Source organism: Homo sapiens, chromosome 5 (assembly GCF_000001405.40).
Source record: "Homo sapiens chromosome 5, GRCh38.p14 Primary Assembly".
NCBI classification, from domain to species: domain Eukaryota; kingdom Metazoa; phylum Chordata; class Mammalia; order Primates; family Hominidae; genus Homo; species Homo sapiens.
The window spans coordinates 24,127,991-24,149,485 of record NC_000005.10 but is presented as its reverse complement, the minus strand read 5'-3'; the positions used below and the strand labels follow the sequence as shown (position 1 = coordinate 24,149,485).

Sequence of the window (21,495 nt, the reverse complement as noted above, 5' to 3'; positions counted from 1 at the left end):
AATGATCAGGGAAGTGCAAATCAAAACCACAATGTGATACCACCTTACTCCTGCAAGAATGGCCATGATCAAAAAATCAAAAAATGATTTATGTTGGTGTAGATGCAGTAAACAAGGAACACTGCTACACTGCTGGTGGGAACGTAAACTAGTAAAACCAGTATGGAAATCAGTGTGGTGATTCCTTAAAAAACTAAAAGTAGAACTACCATTTGATCCAGCTATCCCACTACTGGGTATCTAGCCAGAGGAAAATAAGTCGTTATACAAAAAGGATACCTGCACATGCATGTTTGTAGCAGCACAATTCACAATTGCAAAAATGTGGAACCAACCTAAATGCCCATCAATTAACTAGTGGATAAAGAAACTGTGATATATATAAATATATATATCATATATATATCATATATATTATGTATCATATGTATCATCATATATATGATATATAATATGTATCATATATCATCATACATAAGATATATATATATTATATAAATCATATATATGATGGAATACTACTCAGCCACAAAAAGGAATGAATTAATGGCATTCACAATGACCTGGGTGAGACTGGAGATGATTATTCTAAGTGAAGTAAATCAGGAATGAAAAACCAAACATTGTATGTTCTCACTCATAAGCTGGAGCTAAGCTATGAGGAGGCAAAGGCATAAGTATGACATAATGGACTTTGGGGACTCGGGGAAAGAGTGGGAATGGGGTGAGGAATAAAAGACTACAAATTGGGTGCAGTGTACACTTCTCGGGTGATGGGTGCACCAAAATCTCAGAAATCACCACTAAAGAACTCATTCATGTAACCAAACACCACCTGTTCCCTAATAATCTATGGAAATTAAAAAAAGTTTTAATCTTTAAAAAATAAAAAAAGAAAGAACCATCCCAAACCTAATAATTAGAATTGGCAAAAATAAATTAGCTTACTGTAAATAAGTTAGTAAGAATTGGTTCAGTAGATTTCAAGCTACTTATTAGAGATTGTGTATTTTGAAATTAGAAACCGTATAATTTTGAATATCAAGTTACAGAGGATGAGAGGATTATTAAAAAGTTGATTATTAAAAAAGTAATCTGAGAATATGAAGAATAATCTCAAATTTATCAATAATTTGTTGTATCACTTGAAAGCGAATCATTTAAATTAAAATAAATAAATAAGATTATAAATAAACAAACAGTAGCATTATTACTTCACTTAAACAGTACTTCTTATGGTGTAAATATTGACTCCATTGTGGAGGTTCAGTTGAGAATTGTTTTTAACTATTTTCTAAAGACTTTGTGTACAATTTACTTAATTATATCCTTGAATGTCTGATCCAATTCACCAACTGAACTCTTTAGTACTGGAATTTCTTTTCTTTACTGTTATTATTATTTTTTTGAGACAGGGTCTTGCTTTGTTGCACAGGTTGGAGTAAATGTGCAATCTTAACTCACTGCAGCCTTCACTTGCCCAGTTAAATTGATCCTCCACCTCAGTCTTATGAATTCCTGGGACTACAAGCATACGCCACCAGACCTGGCTAATTTGTATGTGCTTTCTGTTGTTGTTGTTGTTGTTGTTGTTGTTTTCTCCTAGAGAAAAGTTCTCACTAAATTGCGCAGGCTGGTCTGGAACTCCTGGGCTCAAGCAATCTTCCTGCATCAGCCTCCTAAGGTGTTGGAATTACAGGCCTGAGCCACTGTGCCTGGCCTAGAATTTTTTTATAGAAAGTTATTTTTTAATAATGAGTTTAATTTAATTAATATAGTTATTCAGATTTTCTGTTTTATCTTTTAATTTTGGTAAGTTGCATTTTTTCAGAAATGTGTGCCTTTTACTCAGTTGTCACATTTGTCAATATAAAGTTATATTCCCTTATTACGGTTATAATATGTGAAGGGATAAAACCTGCTTTATTCCCAACATTACTGGATTATTTTTAATTCATTTTTTTGACCAATGTAGCACAGGCTTGATCAATGTTGTTTAAAGTAAATAGCTTTTGACTTTGTTAATTTTTTTCTATTTCACTGACGTATGCTCGCAAATTTACTAACGAGTCATTCTATGAAAGAGAAACATGCACATGCACATTTATAGTAGCACAATTCTCAATGGCAAATACATGAAATCAACCTAAATACCTATGAACCAATGAATGGATAAAGAAAACACGGTATATATACACCGTGGAATACTACTGAGCCATCACACGAAATGAAATGATGGCCTTTGCAGCAACTTGGGTGGAGCTGGAGGCCATTATTCTAAGTGAAGTAACTCAGGAATGGAAAACCAAATATTGTATGTTCCCACTTACAATAAGTGGGAGCTAAGCTATGAGGATGTAAAGGCATAAGAATGGTATAATTAACTTTGGAAATACAGGAAGCAATTTGGGAGGAGGTTGAGGGATAAAAGACTACATATTGGGTACAGTGGACACTTCTCGGGTGATGGGTTCACCAGTCTCAGAAATCACCACTAAAGAATTTATCTATCTAACCAAAAACCACCTGCATCCCAAAAACTATTACATTAAACAATTATTTTTTTCCTTTCTTCTAATTGTTTAGTTTTCTCTTGCTCTCATATTTCTTTTTTACTAATGTTATAAATTGAAAGCTGACTACAGATTTTTATCTTTCTTCACTTTTAATATGAAATTTTAAGTCATAATATTCCTCTAAGCACTGCTTTTGCAACATCACACTTATTTTGATGTCTTGAATTTTCTTTATAATTCACTTAAAATATTTTCTAATTTTCTTTGTGATATTTTTCTCTGCCCTATGCATTTTTTCAGAATCTGTAATTTTCAAATATTTGGGAATTGCCTAAAGAAATTATTTTATTGATTTTGAATTTCTTAGTTTGGTGTTCATAGGATACATTCTCTATAATTTAAGTCTTTTAATACTGTTATCATAGAAAACCTTATGGTTGAAGGAAATTATCTGACCTCTTTCAATGCCATGTAGCTGAAGTATAGGAAGTTACCCAGAAACAGTTCTTGAATTAATTGAAACTGAAAACTATTATTCTCAGAATTTAAATTCATCAAATTAAACATTCACAAGAAACAATGTCGGGAATGTAACATATCTCTTTAGCTCTAGACATACATATTCTAAGAGAGTAAACATTCAATACATTATTTTATGCTTCCAGAATATCACACTGACCTTCATGCACTAAAACACCTATAATCATTTTAACATTTTTCTGAACATCTTCAAGTTGCTGATGATTAGTTCAAACTTTGAAGATGGATGGTGTAGGGAATAGATTTAATTTCAGTATTTGAGGCAACCTGAGAATACTACTGAAACAAAAATACCGTGTTTCATCTGCTTCAAAGGCCTACAAATATTTAATACTGAAATCTCCGATTTTAAATGTGGCAACCTTGGGAGGCCTTATTTTACAGTAACTTGATTTTTCAAATTCTAGGAGAGGCTTGGGCTCTTTATGAGTACTGGAAATCTAGAGTGACAGGAAATGAAATAAAGTACAGTGATGATAGTGGCTATTGTGTAATTTAACAAATCTACTTAGAAGAGGTTTTTCCCTTCATATGGAGAAATTATTTATTACATGTAATTACTCCTGAATATAGAACATTCACAATCCCTTCCTTCCTTCCTTCCTTCCTTCCTTCCTTCCTTCCTTCCTTCCTTCCTTCCTTCCTTCCTTTCTTCCTTCCTTCCTTTCTCTTTCTTTCTTTTCTTTCTTTCTTTCTTTCTTTCTTTCTTTCTTTCTTTCTTTCTTTCTTTCTTTCTTTCTTTCTTTTTCTTTCCTTCTTTCTCTTTCTTTTCCTTCTCTTTCTTTCTTTCTTTCTTTCTTTCTTTCTTTCTTTCTTTCTTTCTTTCTTTCTTTCTTTTCCTTTCTTTCTCTCTTTCTTTCTTTCTTTCCCTCCTTCTTTCTTTCTTTCTCTCTCTCTCTCTCCCTCTCTCTCTCTCTCTCTCTTTCTTTCCTTCTTTCTTTCCTTCTTGATGGAGTTGCCCAGTTGATGGTTGTTGCCCAGGCTGGAGTGCAACAGCCTCAGCTCACCACAACCTCCGCCTCCCAGTTTCAAGCCATTCTCCTCCCTCAGCCTCCCCAAGTAGCTGGGGTTACAGGTATGAGCAACCAAGCAACGCCCAGCTAATTTCATATTTTTAGTAGAGATGGGGTTTCTCCGTGTTGTTCAGACTGGTCTCGAACTCCCTACCTCAGGTGATCCGCCTGCCTCAGCCTCCCAAAGTTCTGGGATTACAGGCGTGAACAACCATACCCAGTCAGTAGCATATTTCATAATAAATAAAATAGACTTTCTGCATAGAAGGCTATAATAATTGATAATTAAATTTAATTACTCAAAATTCCAAATTCTGGCCAAAAATCCTATGTGTGATTTTTTTAGGGTTGATGATAGATTTTAATATTTGATTAGGCTTATATTTTGATTTACAATTTCCCAATCTATTGTTCATATCTCTCAAGTAGTTCAGAACTCATAGAAGAAAAATTATTTATGATACAGTTTCTGATTTTGACACCAGAAACTATGCTAAACCCTTTATAGGATGAATTATTTTCATGATCAAAATTGACTTTTATAGTATGTTCTATTTTATCAGTTTTACAAATGAGGCTTTAATTATTACACAATTGCACTATTTTTCAAAAATCTAACAGAATTATTTCAAACTTTTAGATGACAGCTTTAAAAATATGTATTTTATAAAAAATGCATTTATTTTAATACAGATTATAATAATAAAAATGTATGGCCTAAGGAAATTTGCCTATAAATCAATGTTTGTCTTTAAGGCCTTCACACTTTTTGCACCTAAGATGTGCACTTTACTTTTGGTGTTTGTTTCTTGCTTATTTCTTCTTATTTTCTTTCTTTATTCAGAAAGCATTTATTAATCGAATGACAACTCTATTCTGGGGATGGAAAAATATAGAAATACAGACAAAAAGCTCATAGAAAGACAAACTACCTTATTACAAATAAATTTGGTGTTTATTGGAGAATAGATGATGTGTCAAAGTATAGGCATGCCCACAATAGAATGATGTTTGAACAAAGTCTAGAAGAATGTAAGTTCATTAGGGCTGCAGAAAAGCAAAAATGTGTATACTAGGTAAAAAGAAAAACATGATCTAAATCATAAGAGGCTGTCATGACTGGGAAAATACCAAATATGAATGGAAATAAGTATAATTCTTAAGTTTATCTTACTGTTCTCTTTTTTAAGCCTGGAATTACTTTTGCTTATCAGGTGATCATTGTGGGTCATTTTTCCTTTTGGTAATTAGGTTATGCATATATTGTTATATTTAATTTATTTAACAACTTTTTGAAGAGAAAGTAAGAGAATTGACTTTGACCCTGTTTTACCAAAGAAAAACAATGTCTGAATTTTATGACATTTGGAAAAAACACATGAGAAAATGATAACACTAATTTATATAAATCCTAAAGCTAAAGTACAAATATTATGGAGGACATATTAGAGAAGATATACATAATTATAAGAGATAAATTCTATTTCACTGTTATTCTTTCATCTAATGAAAACACAATGAAAGTACTGAACAAAAAGAAGAATATTTTAACATTAAGATTAGTAGTATTAGAGAATAAGGAGACGTGAATGGGCATACTTGTTCAAAGAAGTCAGTCTAAGAGATAATGCAAATTTAATGTGATGTAATATCAAGTGTCTACTTCAAAAGAAGTAAAATTGCTTTCAGTGCCTGCTGAACTACCTATAGATTATCTATTTTAGACTCCTAAGTTTAAAATTAACTTAAGAATGGATGAATGACTAAGGTAATAAAAAATTTGAAAGCAGTGTTATCTGAGGAACACAAAAGCGGTTGAAAGTTAATATTTGGAATACAATGGTGAATTTTCTTCAAATATTTGAAAATCTTTATGTAGAAAAAGAAAAATACTTGTTCTGTTTTTATTCAGACAGTGGAATTAGGATGACTGTTGTTGAAAAGTATATTAAAACTTATGAGAATTCTAGAGTGGTAGTTAATCAAAAATAAAATGTATAATATGACAGACTGATGAGCTTTCTTTTACTAAAAAAGATACCAATGAGACTGATTCACAATCTACAGTCTTGTAGAGGGAGACTGATTTTGAAAATGTATGCCTGGTGTAATTTAAAAATTTTCACATTAAGAATATGCAACTAAAGATCAAAAGGTATGCATAAAATATTAATTTACGTTTAATTTACTATGTTTTTATTTATCTTGCTTAATCATTTTAAGTTCAGGTTTAATACATTTGTTATTTTCTTTGATTGTTCAAAGTGTTAGATGCTGAATTCAAATACTTTTAATGCATATTAATTTCCACAAACTTTAATAGAACATTAAGTTAAAAATATGCACTGACAATTTTGAAAAAATAATATATTTATGTGGTTATTACATGTATCTAATATTTTCAGAGCAAATGAGACAACTTCCTGAAACATGGAGAAGGAAGGTGATACAGCTTGCTTTCTCAATCTACGAACAAATGGAAATACTATTCTGGATAATTTGTAATTAAAACTTTTAGGTTAAAAAAAATTGGAAACAAGTAAAATCAAGTAATCTGGAAGCTGAAATTATGATGACAAGGACCTAGACTGGGGCAGAAATTCTGAACAAAGTTAAGGACAATAGACTGTGCCCTGAGCCTGTATAACTCATAAAGAGAAAACTGAGATTCTCAATAAATGCTGGGTATCTAAAATACAGTAACATTCTCATAATAGGAACTAAAATTATCCCTTCTTACTGGGCCTGGTGAGGCAGAAAGGAGGTGTACAATAGATACAGACCTCTGAGAGACAGAGAGAAAAAAATTTCCTTGTGAGAAGTCAAAATCTCAAACCAGCGTAGGAGTTAGTGAATCAAAATGTATTCCACCCACACATGCAGGGATCCAAAAATGAAAAATAACATAGTGTCCAGAACTGTTAAATTCTCCTGTGAGAGCAGACGGAAAATTTAAAACTGCTCTATGGAAAAGTTTTCTGAAAAATGTATTAACAGTAGACTTTCATCAAAACAAAAAATAACCAACCCAGCAAATCTATTTTAACTGAGCTTACAATCAAAAAGAACATATCTTAAGAGAATACAACAACAAAACACAACAAAACAAAACAAAGAAAAACTAAACTCATTGTAAGGAAATATTATAACTATAACGCATAAAATAGCTCTCTCAAAGAAACACAAAACAAAAGAAGTCTAAAAATAGAGTGAGTACATGTATTTTAAAATTGTAAAAGAATTTTATTTTCTCCCTAGGCAACAAAAAGGATAACATTGAAAAAAAATCATTTTTATAAAGAAATAAATAAACTATCTTGAAATGAATACACATTTTATAAGCACCCAATTTTCTGCATCAAATCTCTTTTCGTTCAAAATAACTGGATCCCTGCAGTGAAACCCTTTCTTAATACATCAAGGATTTACTCCTCCAGAAACTCTTATGCAGTAATGTATGTGTTAATAATATTCATGTAATAATGAATTGATTTTAAAAAGTCTTCTTGGGTATAGAGATTGATTAATGTTTCAACTTAAAATTTAGAGTATCTTTAATCATATTTTTAACAAGTTTATTTTAGTACATTGTTATGGCTAGCTCCTTAAATATGCTAATATAATTATACAGCATTAGAATATCTGTGCATCTATTAAATCACTTGTTGACAGATTTGGAAACATGTTTTCAATATGAGAGCAATCTATTATAAATTGATAACACCAACACCTGATATCACACTAGGGTTGTTGCTGTTGAAATGCCTTCTGTCTTTCATATTAACTCCTAGTACTGCTTTAGCAAGTGGTAAATTTTAAATAGTCTAATTATTATTATTATTGGCATCATGTAGTGGAATTTATGGCCTAATTATATTTTGACAGATAAAGAAACAGTAATCTCAGTTACAGTAAAATTCTGACAGCATGTCTAAAGGACTAATTTAGGCACTGGCCACCCTATATCACGAGTAGCTAATCTTGGAGGTCACATTTTGTCTGTCTTGCTTATGTAAAATCATCTAAAATAACTACCAGGATGGATTTGTTGCAGGACTTTTCCTTAGTTCAGCTAAAGACTGGTTTCTTTGTCCCACAGCCAGGAAAATCTGGGCTTGCAGACAATTTGAATGGTGAGTAAGACAGGGTTTTATTGGGTGAGAAAGAAGAAAAAGGGGAAACAGGGACTCTCGCTAGGCCAGGATCCCAGCTGGAGTGCTTCCCGCCTTGCCATTTAAATCCCTGGTTCCATAAAAGAAGAAGAAGAGCCAGGCTCCTCCCTGCTGCAAATGTCGTGAACTTCCCAAGGCTCTACCTCAGTGGGCAGGCTGGTTGAAGTCTCTCCAGGGACCACTTCCCACCTGACTGGCTCAGAATAAAGTTGTGTAAAATGGAATGAAGAATGATGGGTATGTATATCTCACTTGTAATAAACCAGCACAAAATGTAGTGTCCTCTCCCCTTCCAAAAAGCTGTTTATTGTCTGTCATTATTCTGTGTTTTAGCACGGCATTCTTATCTGATTTGGCCAAGCTGTGACAGATTTACCTAGAATGGGTTAACTCATCTAACTCATACATCTGGATTCTCAGCTAAAAAGGCAGGATGTCTGAAGCCACTCTCCATTTGATCTCTTATTAGTCAATGGATGGATGCATCTTGATTAGTTCATGTAGTGAAAGAAGAAATTCCATCAGAACTTGAGGAAATGTTCCAATGAGCAAATACTTTTAATTTCTCTACCTGTGTTATATCTACGGGTATCCTACAGAACAAGGCAAGTTATACGGCCAAACCCACATTCAAAATGAAAGAGAATTACCCAATGTGTGTATAGAAAGTGACGCTTTATAGAACATATGTTTAAATATTTCTATAGGGTAGATTAATAGGGGAAAAATATAGTTTATGCGTGTTTTATAATTTTTTACATTGACCAATAAGATCATCAAACTAAAACCTTTTGCTCCAATTAAATGCTAAGCAATCAAGTATCTCATTTTATTTTGCTTTTGTATACATACTTTTCTAGATTGAGATAAATCACTGATCAGGAATCTCAAAATTTGCATTTGTACTTCATATTTTAAACAAAAAATGGAGATTATAGATTATATGTCAGTGTTTAAAAATATAATTTAAATCTTGCTGAATCTGACTCACTCAGATTCACTTGCTAGACAAAAATAAATAAATACATCAAAATTTTAAAAATATATATTTAAAGCCCTTCCTGTGTGGCTGCTATCCTTTTATGACATTTTTGTGATTTCTCTCTTTATATGTGGGTCAAAAATTATTTGAACTTCCCATTCATTAATCAAAGATGACTTTCAGTTTATTAAATCCAACAGCCCCCTGTAAATTATAAGCAAAAACTCATCTGGTTCTTCTATATCTGTATTAATGTGTATTTTTTTCTTCTAATAGGTTCTTTATCTGTCCCTTAGATATTGTTTATTTCAAGATTCCTGTCAAGATCTATTTTCTTCTCAAATATGCTCTACCGGAGTAATCTTATGGTTCCTGGTAAGAATTAAACATTAATTATTCTTGATTTATATGTGTAAATCCATCCTTTCAGTTGAGTTTCAGGCTTAAATTTCTATATTTCTGCATCACTAGCATGACTATACCTCATCAATATCTCAAATTCAATGTGCCCAAAGTTTTATGTCGTTTTCTTCAAAACCTAGTCTTCTTTTTGTCTACCTCATTTTGAGCAGAGAGAGACCTTCCCCACAGGAGCCTTTGTTGACTAATGTTTTCTTTACTCAGTCTAAACAATAAACAATGTATTCAGTCTAGACAATTTTCTAACTCCAAAAGCACTTTAAACCTGCAAATATTCTTTTGTAAACGTTGCTAAATTTCAAATTTCTTTCATTCATCATTGATGCTTCTGACATCTACAATATAACTTTATTTTTAATCCCCTTTGCACTTTCTTGCTCTTAACATCTGCTCTGAATCCCCAACCCCTGGACCATGGACTGCTGCTAGTCCATGGCCTATTAGGAACTAGGCCTCCACAGCAGAAGGTGAGGGGAGGGCAAGCATTACTGCCTGAGTTTGCCTCCAGTCAGATCAGCTGTGGCATTAGATTCTCATAGGAGCGTGGACCCCATTGTGACTGCACATGTGAGGGATCTAGGTTGTGTGCTCCTTATGATAATCTAATGCCTGATGATATGAGGTGGAAAAGTTTTATCCCCCGCCCTCATCCTTGGAAAAATTGTCTTCCACAAAATTGGTCCCTGGTGCCAGAAATACTGGATACTACTCATCTAGAGCATAGAGGCAAGGGGTTCTGTTAAAATCCTGACATAAACAATACAGTCACTGTATTAAGCCGTTCTTGCATTGCTATAAAGAAATCCCTGAGACTGGGTAATTTATAAATAAAAGAGAATTAATTGCCTCAGGGTTCTGGAGGCTGTATAGGAAGCATAGCGCCAAATTCCTTCAGCTTCTGGGAAGGCCTCAGGGTGCTTTTACTCATGGGGGAAGGCGTGTCACATCATGAATGCAAGAGACAGAGAAAGATTAAGAGAGAGAAAGAGATGCCACACACTTTCAAACAGCCAGATCTCATGAGAACTTGCTCATTATCGCGAGGACAGCACCAAGCGTATGATGCTAAATGATTCATGAGAAATCAGCTCCCAGGGTCCAATCACGTCTTACCAGGCCCCATGCCCAGTACTGGGGATTCAACATGGAATTGAGGCAGGGACAAATATACAAACTCTATCAGTTATCCTCTCAAAGAATTATGCAGTCCAACATGTCAATAGAGCAAAGGTTGAAAAATCCTGGCATACATTGATTCATTTTGGTGATGTGTGAATTTAGGTATGAAATATAACAAACCTGCACATACTGCACATGTAGAACTGAAAAAAATACATAATTAAAAAATAATAAAATAAAAAACAAAAACAGTAACATTTTGATACATACAGTTTCTTTGATATAATGCTTAAAATCAGACATTTTAGGAAAAAAAAATCCTGGGATTTGCAGATGTGTCAGAATAAGCAAAATGCTTTAGAAAAAGCTAAACTCCCTTTTCTGGGAGAAATGTTGAAAGCTTGTATTGGTGGCTTACAATTTTTTTTTTTTTTTTTACATATTGTTTCTTTACTATCAAAGAATGAAAAATATAAGTAAAAATACTTGTAGACATTTTCTTAAATTTGTGAGCCAATTTTTTACAATTATCTTCTCCTCTGAAGAGCAAATAAATCAGAAATTGAAACTAGGTATAATCATTCACTGTGCCCTTCAAAGGAGGATTAGAAAGGGCACATATTTGATTCAACATGAATCTCTTAAAATGCTGGAAAGATTAGAGATTCAAAAAGCAAATTTGTGTGCTTGCTTTGGTTATTATATTCTCTTCTATTGTAAAAAATTTAAGAGAGATTACATAAAAAGCATCCTTAAAGCATGAGGACATCATCTCGTGGTAATACTTGTAAAGCTTTTGAAATTCCTAACATGACATATAATGTTATATTTTAATTGCGAAAGTTTTTTACCTGGCTATCATGGATTATCAACAATCTTCTTATCAACTCCCTTGTCAAAAATTAAATCCAATATACATTAGGCCTTGTATCTTTTTCAAAAATACCCCATGTATAAACTTTTTAAAACTTTTAACCAGAGGAGATTAGAAAAAAAAAAAAAGAATAAATCTAAGTGTAAACTAAATTTGTTATAATGTCTGTTTAAACAATTCATATTGAAATTCACTAATGGCTCCTAATTAAATTCAACAAATACTGCTTACACCTAATATGTGCACAGAATTATGCTAGGACTCTTGCAAAACAGTCAGTAAAAATTTGCCTGATATAAAATAATTTACTGTTTATTAAGAGAGATGAGATGCATACTCACAAATAAACATGAAAAAGTAGAATATCATTAATGTTATTGGTAGATATGAGAAATAATAAGTTAAGGCCTCATTTGATATATTTAAATTGTCTGTCCCAGTCTGCTCCGTCTGCTATAACAGAATGTCCTAAACTGAGTGGTTTAAAAGACATTTATTTTTTACAATTCTGATGTCTGGAGACCAAAATGCCAGCTGATTTGTTCCTGGTGAGTTCTGTTTATGGCTTTCAAAAGGTTTTCTTCTTACCATATCCTCATAGGGCAGAGGGAAAGAGGGAAGAGGGAAAGAGAAAGAGACACACACACATGGAGAGAGAGAGAGAGAGAGAGAGACAGGGTGAGAGAGAGAGAGATTGAGACATTATCCCCTTATGTCTATTTGCCTATGGATACTAATCTCACTCATAAGGGCTCCAACCTCATGACTTAATTACCTCCCAAAGACTCCATCTGTAAATATAATGAAACTGGAAGTTGAGGGCTGCAACATATGAATTTGGGGAAAGCACAAAGCCTTGTCCTTCAATATATAGAATTTCGATAGGTTGATTTGAGGGAGAATATCAATACCACTAGGGCCCAAATAGCAGTTACCATTAACAACAATGTTCTTTGTGCATCCCCTTCCTGCCTCTCAATCTTGAGTAATATGGGTTATTTAGCTATGACTATAACTAAAAATATTATCAACTATTGAAAGGTAAAGGGATTATGTATGGTCTGGTAATATGAATTTGGCAAAAACATTAAATCCACTTCAGAAAAGAATTTTTATGACATTTTTTCACATGACATATGATGCTTCGAATAGAATTTTATGTGGAAATGATGTCTATATTTTGCAATAATTTCTTATGCAAATGGCTTACATTTGAAAACACCCTGAACAATATTTTTTTTTTTCTAAAAAAAAAAAAAAGGGCAGGGAGAAAACATGCCAAATATCTGACTCAAATTTTTTCCTTTGTTCTAGCAGTCTTTTAGAAGCAATAATGGCACTAATAATTAAGTCAATAAGAACATTTGGTGAGTAAATAAAACATTCAGTGAACAGCATTTCCAAATATCACCATTACAGAGTGCAACTCAGAGTGTTTGCTAGAGGCTGAACCTCATACTCATCAAGGAATCTAGTGAATGACGGTTAATGCAAAGTCAGTTTCAGCAGAGGCTGTGGTGTAAGAGCTAATTAGGTTGCATCAAAAATAATATAATGTATTAGCTTGGCCAGAAATTCACTTCTGAATATTGACTTTCTCTTATGAGATATTATAAAAATGTTTTACACATATTAATTGCTAATATGAGACTTACATTTTAAAGCTGAGATAGTGGCAAAATGCAATTTTGCATATAAATGTAATATTTTCTATGTACTACCAATTTGACTCAAAGGAAACACACACAAAAAGTTTCACCAAGTGAATTATGACCAAAATGAGATAAATTTGTTAAAAAAAAACCTCAAATGAAAGAGACAAATATAGTTCAAAGATTCAGGTTCAATATTTGTTTATAAATATCTATTAAAATATATAAGACTAATAAATTTGTAAATTACATAGAATTTGTGACATGCACAGACATAAAAATAATGAAACAGATTTTAAAATATAGGAAAAACCAAACATTTGGTTAGTTTTTAGTTACAATAGAAACCAAACAAAATGGAGAAAGCTCTAATAAGAAATCCAGTTCTCCTAGGAAGATACCATAATCAAGGGGAGAGACAGCCATGTGTTTCTGGCTATATGACTATACCTGCCTGGAATGGAATTACAGCTATGCTGAACTTGGCAGGTGGGTGAGGGAGGGAGAGAATCATGGTTCAACTGACACATTCTCACTGTCTCTACCTAGTATTAGTGGATTTTTTTAGAATATATATTTCTTCATCTGTAGTATTCCCTTATGACAATTTCCAGATAATTTAAATGGTTGTTTTTTCAATTCTGACCAGATATGCTTGTTTCAGTCCACAGAGCATCTCACAATACCATCCAGAATGGGGGATTCCAATATAAAATTTGAAAACAGTTAAAAATACCACTGTCTATTTTATGAAAATAATTCCTAAAAGTCTCTCTCCTTTCTCTCTCTCTCTCTGTCTCTTTTTTTCAGGCACAGTGATTGGGAACACTGCAGTTTGCCTCGATCACTCATACTACTACCGCTTATTTGTAGGGTGGAAAACCTGAAAAGACTGTAGGCTACTACTCCAATCCTAAAGCAGGGACGTCATTCAGAAAGAATCATGCGACTGCTTCTGCCCCAAACTCAGAACCATTGCTTAGAGATTTTGCCCAGGGTGAAATGCAGGAAAAACAAACAAACAAACAAACAAATAAACAAACAAAACTCTGAAAGTTTCCCAAAGAAATGGATTTTATTAAAACAGAGTTTGAAAAAGTTAAAACATAAGGGTACCCTCAAAAACAATGGGAAATTGTTGACAGGTAACTAAGAGAAGAAGAGAAGGGTGGTAACTTCATGAGATATACAAGTTAAACCATTGGTCCAGTAGTTTGCCAGAAAGAATGATGAACACACTGCTAAGAAAATGCCTTTCTGGGGCCGAAAAAAACCAAAATCTTACCTCAAGAGCTGCCCCTTCAAAATAATCTATATTTAATTGGTATTAAACTAATAATAAAGAAAAGAAGCCGCTCAGAAAGAAAACTCAGACTCATATGGCTTCCCTGGTGATTCTCCCAATCATTTAAAGAAGAATTAATACCAATACTTCACAAGTTCTTCCAAGAAAAATAGAGGAACATGTCCCAGAAAATTTTATGAGGTCAGTATTATGTCGACATCAAATCCAAAAAAAAAAAAAAAATCAACAAGGAAACAAAATAAAAACTACAGACCAATATTTTTTATGAATGCAGCCAAAAAATTTCTCAACAAAATACTAGCAATATAGAAAAAGAATTCTGAACCATATCCAAGAGGGAATTTTTTCATAATTGAAAGTTAGTTTAATATCTTAAAATCAATTAATGTAATAAACCATACCAAATGAATAAAGGGAAAAATTACATGATTATTTTAATAGAGGTAGAAAAAGCATTTGACAAACTCCACCAATTCTTTATCATAAAGACACTCAACAAAGTAGGTAAAGAAGATAAATTCCTTAACCTGTTAAACAGCATCTAGGACAAACCCACAGCAGACATCAAAGTTAAGGGTGAAGGATGGAATTCTTTCCTCGTCTTAACCATCCACCAATGTACACTTCATGAGTAAACTGTATATTTGGTTTGATAAAATTTTGTTTTATGTCATAATTATTTGATACTATTTGTATGCCTAAAATTTCTCAAAATATATTTTAAATTTACTGGCACTGCATTTTTCATAGAATGAACATAGGCGTATATATGTCATCTTCGTCATTCCTAAGGTAATTTTTTTCATATTTGCCATTTTCTTAGATATTTACTATTTTCTTGTTTAAGAACATCATATCTGTTACTGTTTTGTAGGCTTCTAAACATATACACTTTCTGTTTTCTCTTTGGTTTCTATTCATTATTACATGAGATTATCATTATTATTTTGAAAAGACATACAGTTTTATTTTAATTTCGTGAGTTAGTGTCTCATTTCAAACTTAGTGATTTTCAAACGTTTTCTGAAGCGATGGGTTTAGGCTGTAATAATACCTCCATGTGTCACTATACTCACGTATCTCATGGTTTTTATATAGCATACTTAATGTCCTTCAGTTGAGGCCATATTTCCTTTGTAACATATTCTTTAAACCAAAAGTTATTTAGTAGGGCTTTTATTAAATTTCCAAATTTATTGGTGATATATAACACTATCTTTACAATTTCTAATACAATTGACTTTCTTAGACAATATAATATATAATTGATATTTAAAATTTTGAGTAATTTTGTTATCTATTAAGTTGTTGCTTCTGTAGATGTGCCGCTATATTTTTAAATTCTTATTTCCTGTTATCTTTTTGAGGGCAGAGTGCAACATAATTCATCATGTCAAACATGTTTATGTTATGCAAATTTCTTATTTGTGTTGCACAAGTGTTCTGTGCATTCTATATTTTTGTCCATCAAATATAGAGAAAATACAGGTCTAATATTCTGATGTTATTTTGTTATATTTTTAAATCATTGAATTCAAAGCTTTAAATTTATAATTGTTATTAACATTGATATGGAATTAAATTTGTCTTTCATAAATGTATAGATACATATACTAAATTAATGTATTCATGCATACACAAATACATAACTATATGACTTTAGTCCTGACCATTGTCATTCAATGCCAGATGAAAGCAAAACAAAATGCCTCTTTATAACTGAATCCACTCCCATAAGCATTTCCTCCCATCCAATGTATTTTTTCTTTAAGAGAGAAGACTGAATATCAAAAGTACTGGTGATTATGACTAAATGTAATTACTTTTCAATTCAGTTGTACATGTCTTGACACTTAACAGCAGAATTATCTGTTCTGTAATGAAATTCACCTATTTTTATTCTCCTCTTTTTGCACTTGTTTACGTCCCTTCCTTTTCCTTCCCTTTCCATTCCATGCTAACATGAAAGATATTGAAATATCACTCAAATAATCTTATTTTTCTTAATTCTTATTTTAAGTATCTAGTTGAGGAGGCCACTAATAGCAGGATTAGGCAGACATAATTGTTCAGAAAGTATAACAAAAGACAAACGTGCTCTCACCCCAACATATTTCTGATGGATTAAATCATGAGTATATATACAAAGTTGAAAACAATAATTACAAACTATACCCACAGCAAGGCAAATATATTGACTTCAGAAGGTTACCAAAGTTTACTTTAGCTTTATTTTGCACAAAAGACATATTTAAATAAAATTACCATTATGTTGTTTTTTAAATTTTTTCATTGATAGTCCCATTTTGGCCAGTTTTGTCACAGCTTGGCTACCTAAAACCATATTCTTTCTGGTTCTCTTTTTTTTCTCTCCTCCCCCTCCCCCTCCCCATCCCTCTCCCACCTCCTCCTCTCCCTCCCTGCCCTAGTAACTGTCTCATCCTCCTCCTCCTCTCCCCCTTCTTCTCCCCCTCCCCTCCTTCTCCCTCTCCTCCTCCTTCTTCTTTTTTCCTTCTTTCTTCTTTCTTCCTCCTTTCTTCTTTCTTCTCTCTTCTTTACAGATTACTTTTGAAAATACCTTTTCAAATACCTTGTGCTGATTTGTGACTTACTGTGCATCCCAGCTCCTAAACCAATGATAGTTTTATTGTTTAAGGGTTCTTGGACCATTTTGGTCAAAGAGAAATATGATTTATAAATTTGTAATTTATCTATATTTCCTTTAGTATAATAGGAACATCTTTGTACTTTCATTTGGTCTAATAAGTGACAAACTGATATAAATGTGAGAAGGAATTACTAAATGCAGAGTTCACATTAACAATGAGTATTTGTTTTTCTGACAGACTTTTAAAGTAATGAGTTCTGTTATACATTGAAAACACTCTTGTTATTGAATGTTAATATATAGGCATTCAGGCTAAGGAACTTATGGTTAATAGTGAGCATTTAAAATTAACATCACCAATACCAAAGTAAAAAAGTTGAATGAGAAAGAGAAATATCAAATGAAGATTTACTATAATGATTTGGACATTAAAATGGGACTAAATACTTTACTAGTGAAATTGCTTTGAGAGTTTCAATACTATCAAAACAAAATTTTCATTTTTACTCTTCTCCTTTCCAAATGTTTTGGAGCTTTCAAATATGCCTAACATCATTAAGAATGATCAGGGACAATTGATTTTGAAACATCTATTTCCTATGAAAATGATCAAATATGTGTGAATATTACAGCTACTGACCCCCTACACATCCTTAAATAAATTATAAATATTATTATTTAATAGTGCATAATGGATTTTGTGACCCACATAATACATATATTAAATATTACACAGATTTAGAAAATTATACTCTATTTTATCATGAAAACAATTATACAGTTGAGTAATTTTTCATCTTGCTCTACCTATAATAAAAATAATTGAATTCAGAAACAGAACTGAAGATACAAAATAAATATGGCAAATGACTTCATAAGCTGCCTCTGTGCTGTTATAGAAGTATAATCGGTAGACATTATAAGATGTCAGCTTTTGTCTATAGTAAATATAATTTACACAGCAGAAAAGAGTGATTAGAGTCAGATCACTGAGAGGCTAATGAAAAAACCCATCGGCACAGATGTGGGTTGTTCATTTTGTAAAAGATCAAAGAAATGACAAGTTTTGAAGGTGTTTTACATGCTCTGAAACTCATCACAGACGTGTTCAATCATGCTCTGAGATACAAAGCAATCTAATCATTTTTATATTAAACAATTCGAATCCTATGGATTGTGGTTCACATTTAGAAAGGCATTAACTTGAGTCATTCATGGCTTGAAAGTTAAAGTATGTTTCATAAATTGGATTGTAAGAAACATTAACAAAAGAGGGCCCTAACAAAATATAACATAATAAAGGGATGGGGCTTGGAGGGAACAATAAACCAAGATCAAATTGCAAAACTAGATTGCAATAGCAAAATAAATAGATCTGATATGCTGTTAAAAATAACAGTCTACACATTTATTTTGAAAATGATGTCCTCTAATAACGATTAAAGGAGTTATTTGAAAAGTTTCATGTTTTTTTTTAGTCTAGTTAATGAGATTGTAGAACAGAAAACATTGCCAATGGCTAAGGAAGAGGGGATAAAAAAGAAAATTATGCTTCTTTAGCATCTTTTGGTAAATGAGTGCTGTTGCTTATTCATGTAAAATTGAACCATGAGGGAAAGCACGGAAAAGCAGAATTATCTAAGAAAACTGTTGGAAGGACACTTAAAAGAAACTAGGAACATATGAAAAAGGTGAGGTTAGCAATTACAAATTCTTATTTGTTACATAGATGTTTATCCATTTTATAATATTTTTCTAGTTAATAAATGCATCTGTGTAACATCCTGCATACTACTCACAGTATTTAAAATTCATTGAAGTGTTTGATATTTTGGAAAGAAAATTAAGCATGAAGATTTTAGAGAATCACTTTGAATATAGGATTTTTAACATTAATCAATAATAGAACATTTGCAGCAACATGTTTTCTTAAGATAAATATGTGTGCATTATTCTTGGCTAGAGTTCTGTTTTTTATGTGGAAAGTAAAATACAACTTTTGGAATTATTTTAAAAAGATATTGAAGGAATAATCCCAGAAACTAAAGTAAACTGATGTAGATAATTATAATAAACAAAGAATCAAACAAAAATGCAGCAATCGCAATACGAACAACAAAGCAAGAGTGAAAGTAAAATAAAGAGATCATTTCAATTTGCTTGATAGTAAGCCAGTATTTATCATTGCATTTATCTAATAAAGGGAAAGGGAAATTGAAAGATATAATGTCGTTTGTTCTGAATATACTTGGAAGTATTCAGAAAAATACAAAGTGGTAAAAAGAAAAACAAAACAGCACTAAATTTTCCGTGATAAACATTTTTTTAAAAAATTGAAGTTTCACAACAGAATGGCTTAAAAAAGGATATTAACTCTTTTACATCTGAGTAATTTGATACACCAAAGCCTCAATATTCACATCAGTAAAAAATAAAAATAACTTAATTCATTTTTGAATTTATATAAGCTAAATTTTACTTTGTGGTGTACAGTTCTATGAGTTTTGAAATACGCAAAAAGTAATGTATCCATAACCATAAATTTCCCTCATGCTGCTCCTTTTAGTCAACTTCTCTCCTCTAGCAACCACTTAAGTGTCTCATCCAGAAAGTCACAGAAATGAAAATATATACTAGGTTGCCTCTGGCTCTTTTTACTTAACAAAAACACATCTGAGAGGATAACATGATGTTGTGTGTATCAAAAGTTCATTTTTTTATTGCTGAACAGCATGGATGTGCCACAGGATTTTTGTTTGTTTGGAACCATTTACTGGATAAAGAGTGTTGGATTTGATTCTAGATTTTGATGATTATTAGTTTAAAATGCTACATTTCTATACAGATTTTCCACAAACCTAAGGTTTTCTTTCCCTTAGACACTACGAATGGAATTGCTGAGCCAGATAAGTGTATGATTAGTTTTTTTTTTATTATTATACTTTAAGTTTTAGGGTACATATGCACTTATATAAAACTTACATACACTTTCAAAAGTGGCTGTGTTGTGCATTCCCATCACCAGTGTATGTGAGTGCCAGCTATTCTGCATCCTGGCAGCATTTGGTATTGCCAAGTTCCTTTTTGTTTGTTTGTTTTTCTAATTGCAGCCTTTCTATTGGGTGCGTATGGGGTAGAGTTATGTCATTTGGATTTTAATTTGTACTTTCTGGATGACAGAAGTCCATTTATTTAAGAACAGACTTATCAGGGAAGTTTAAATGACCACATGTCTATGGTGAAATATGTGTTCAAATATTCTGGCTATATATTATTTTTTGTTTTGTTTGCCTATAATTGAACATATATCAAGAAATAGACATATTGGGCTAAAATATTTGCAAATCAGATATCTAACAAAGACATCTGACACAGGACATATAATTCATATAATATATAATCTAATTTAATATAATATGTAATATGTAAAATGTGTCTTTCCACCACTTTTTAAAGTTGGAAAATTTATTTATTTGAGGACAATTTTCTTTTGTAATAAAAACATTTAATGCTATAAATTTCCATCTAATTGTTATTTTTATCACATTCCATTAATTTTGGTGTTTTGGTTTTTCAATTCATTAAAATAAAATATTTTACATTCCCTTTTGGCCTTCCCTTTGAACACATGTTAATTTGGATTATGGGCATTTTATCAATACATAAAACTGTACATATTTATAGGGTACAGTGTGACATTTCAGTGCATGTATACATTGTATACAAATCAAATCATGGTATTTAAGCATACCCATCACCTCTTACATTTAACATTTCTTTGATTTGTGTTGGTTAACAAATTTGGGGAATTTCCAAATATCTTTTTGTTATCAACTTCTGTTTTAGTTCTCTGGTGGGCCAAGGAAATACTTAACAAGAAGGACAAAATAGCAGCTGAGAGTTGTAATGCAAATAGTGGGAAGAAGAAAGGTAATCTCAATGTTTCTGTGAGATGGTGTACAAGCAACACAAGAAAAGGCAGTTGAGTTATTTCGGAATACATTTTTTGTTATTTTGAATTTACATTGTCTAAACTCTCTTTCTTATACTTCAACATTGCTAAAATTACTACAATACTGGATCAGGAAACTTTCTGCATCCATAATAATAAACATTTTGGTAACTGACCATGTCTTTGCATAAAGCACAGTTTCTCCACTTCAGTACTATTGACATTTGGACCAGATAATTATTTGTCGTGTGAGATTGTCTCATGCAACGTAGGACATTAGACTGCATCCCTGGCCTCTTCTCATTAGATGCCAGTAGCACCCACTCCCACTTGTGACAACC

At 32.1% G+C, this 21,495-nt stretch overlaps 2 long non-coding RNA genes across 2 annotated transcripts in view; one reads left to right on the top strand and one right to left on the bottom strand.

Annotated features, from left to right (window-relative positions):
* LINC02899 (long intergenic non-protein coding RNA 2899) overlaps nucleotides 1–21,495 on the bottom strand; it is a 226,918-nt gene that overhangs the window by 28,780 nt on the left and 176,643 nt on the right. The gene's annotated exons all lie outside the window — the stretch shown is intronic.
* Nucleotides 712–15,252, top strand: LOC124901173 (uncharacterized). The gene is made up of 2 exons (XR_007059124.1): nucleotides 712–9,598; nucleotides 14,099–15,252. It is a non-coding gene; the product is annotated as an uncharacterized LOC124901173 (long non-coding RNA).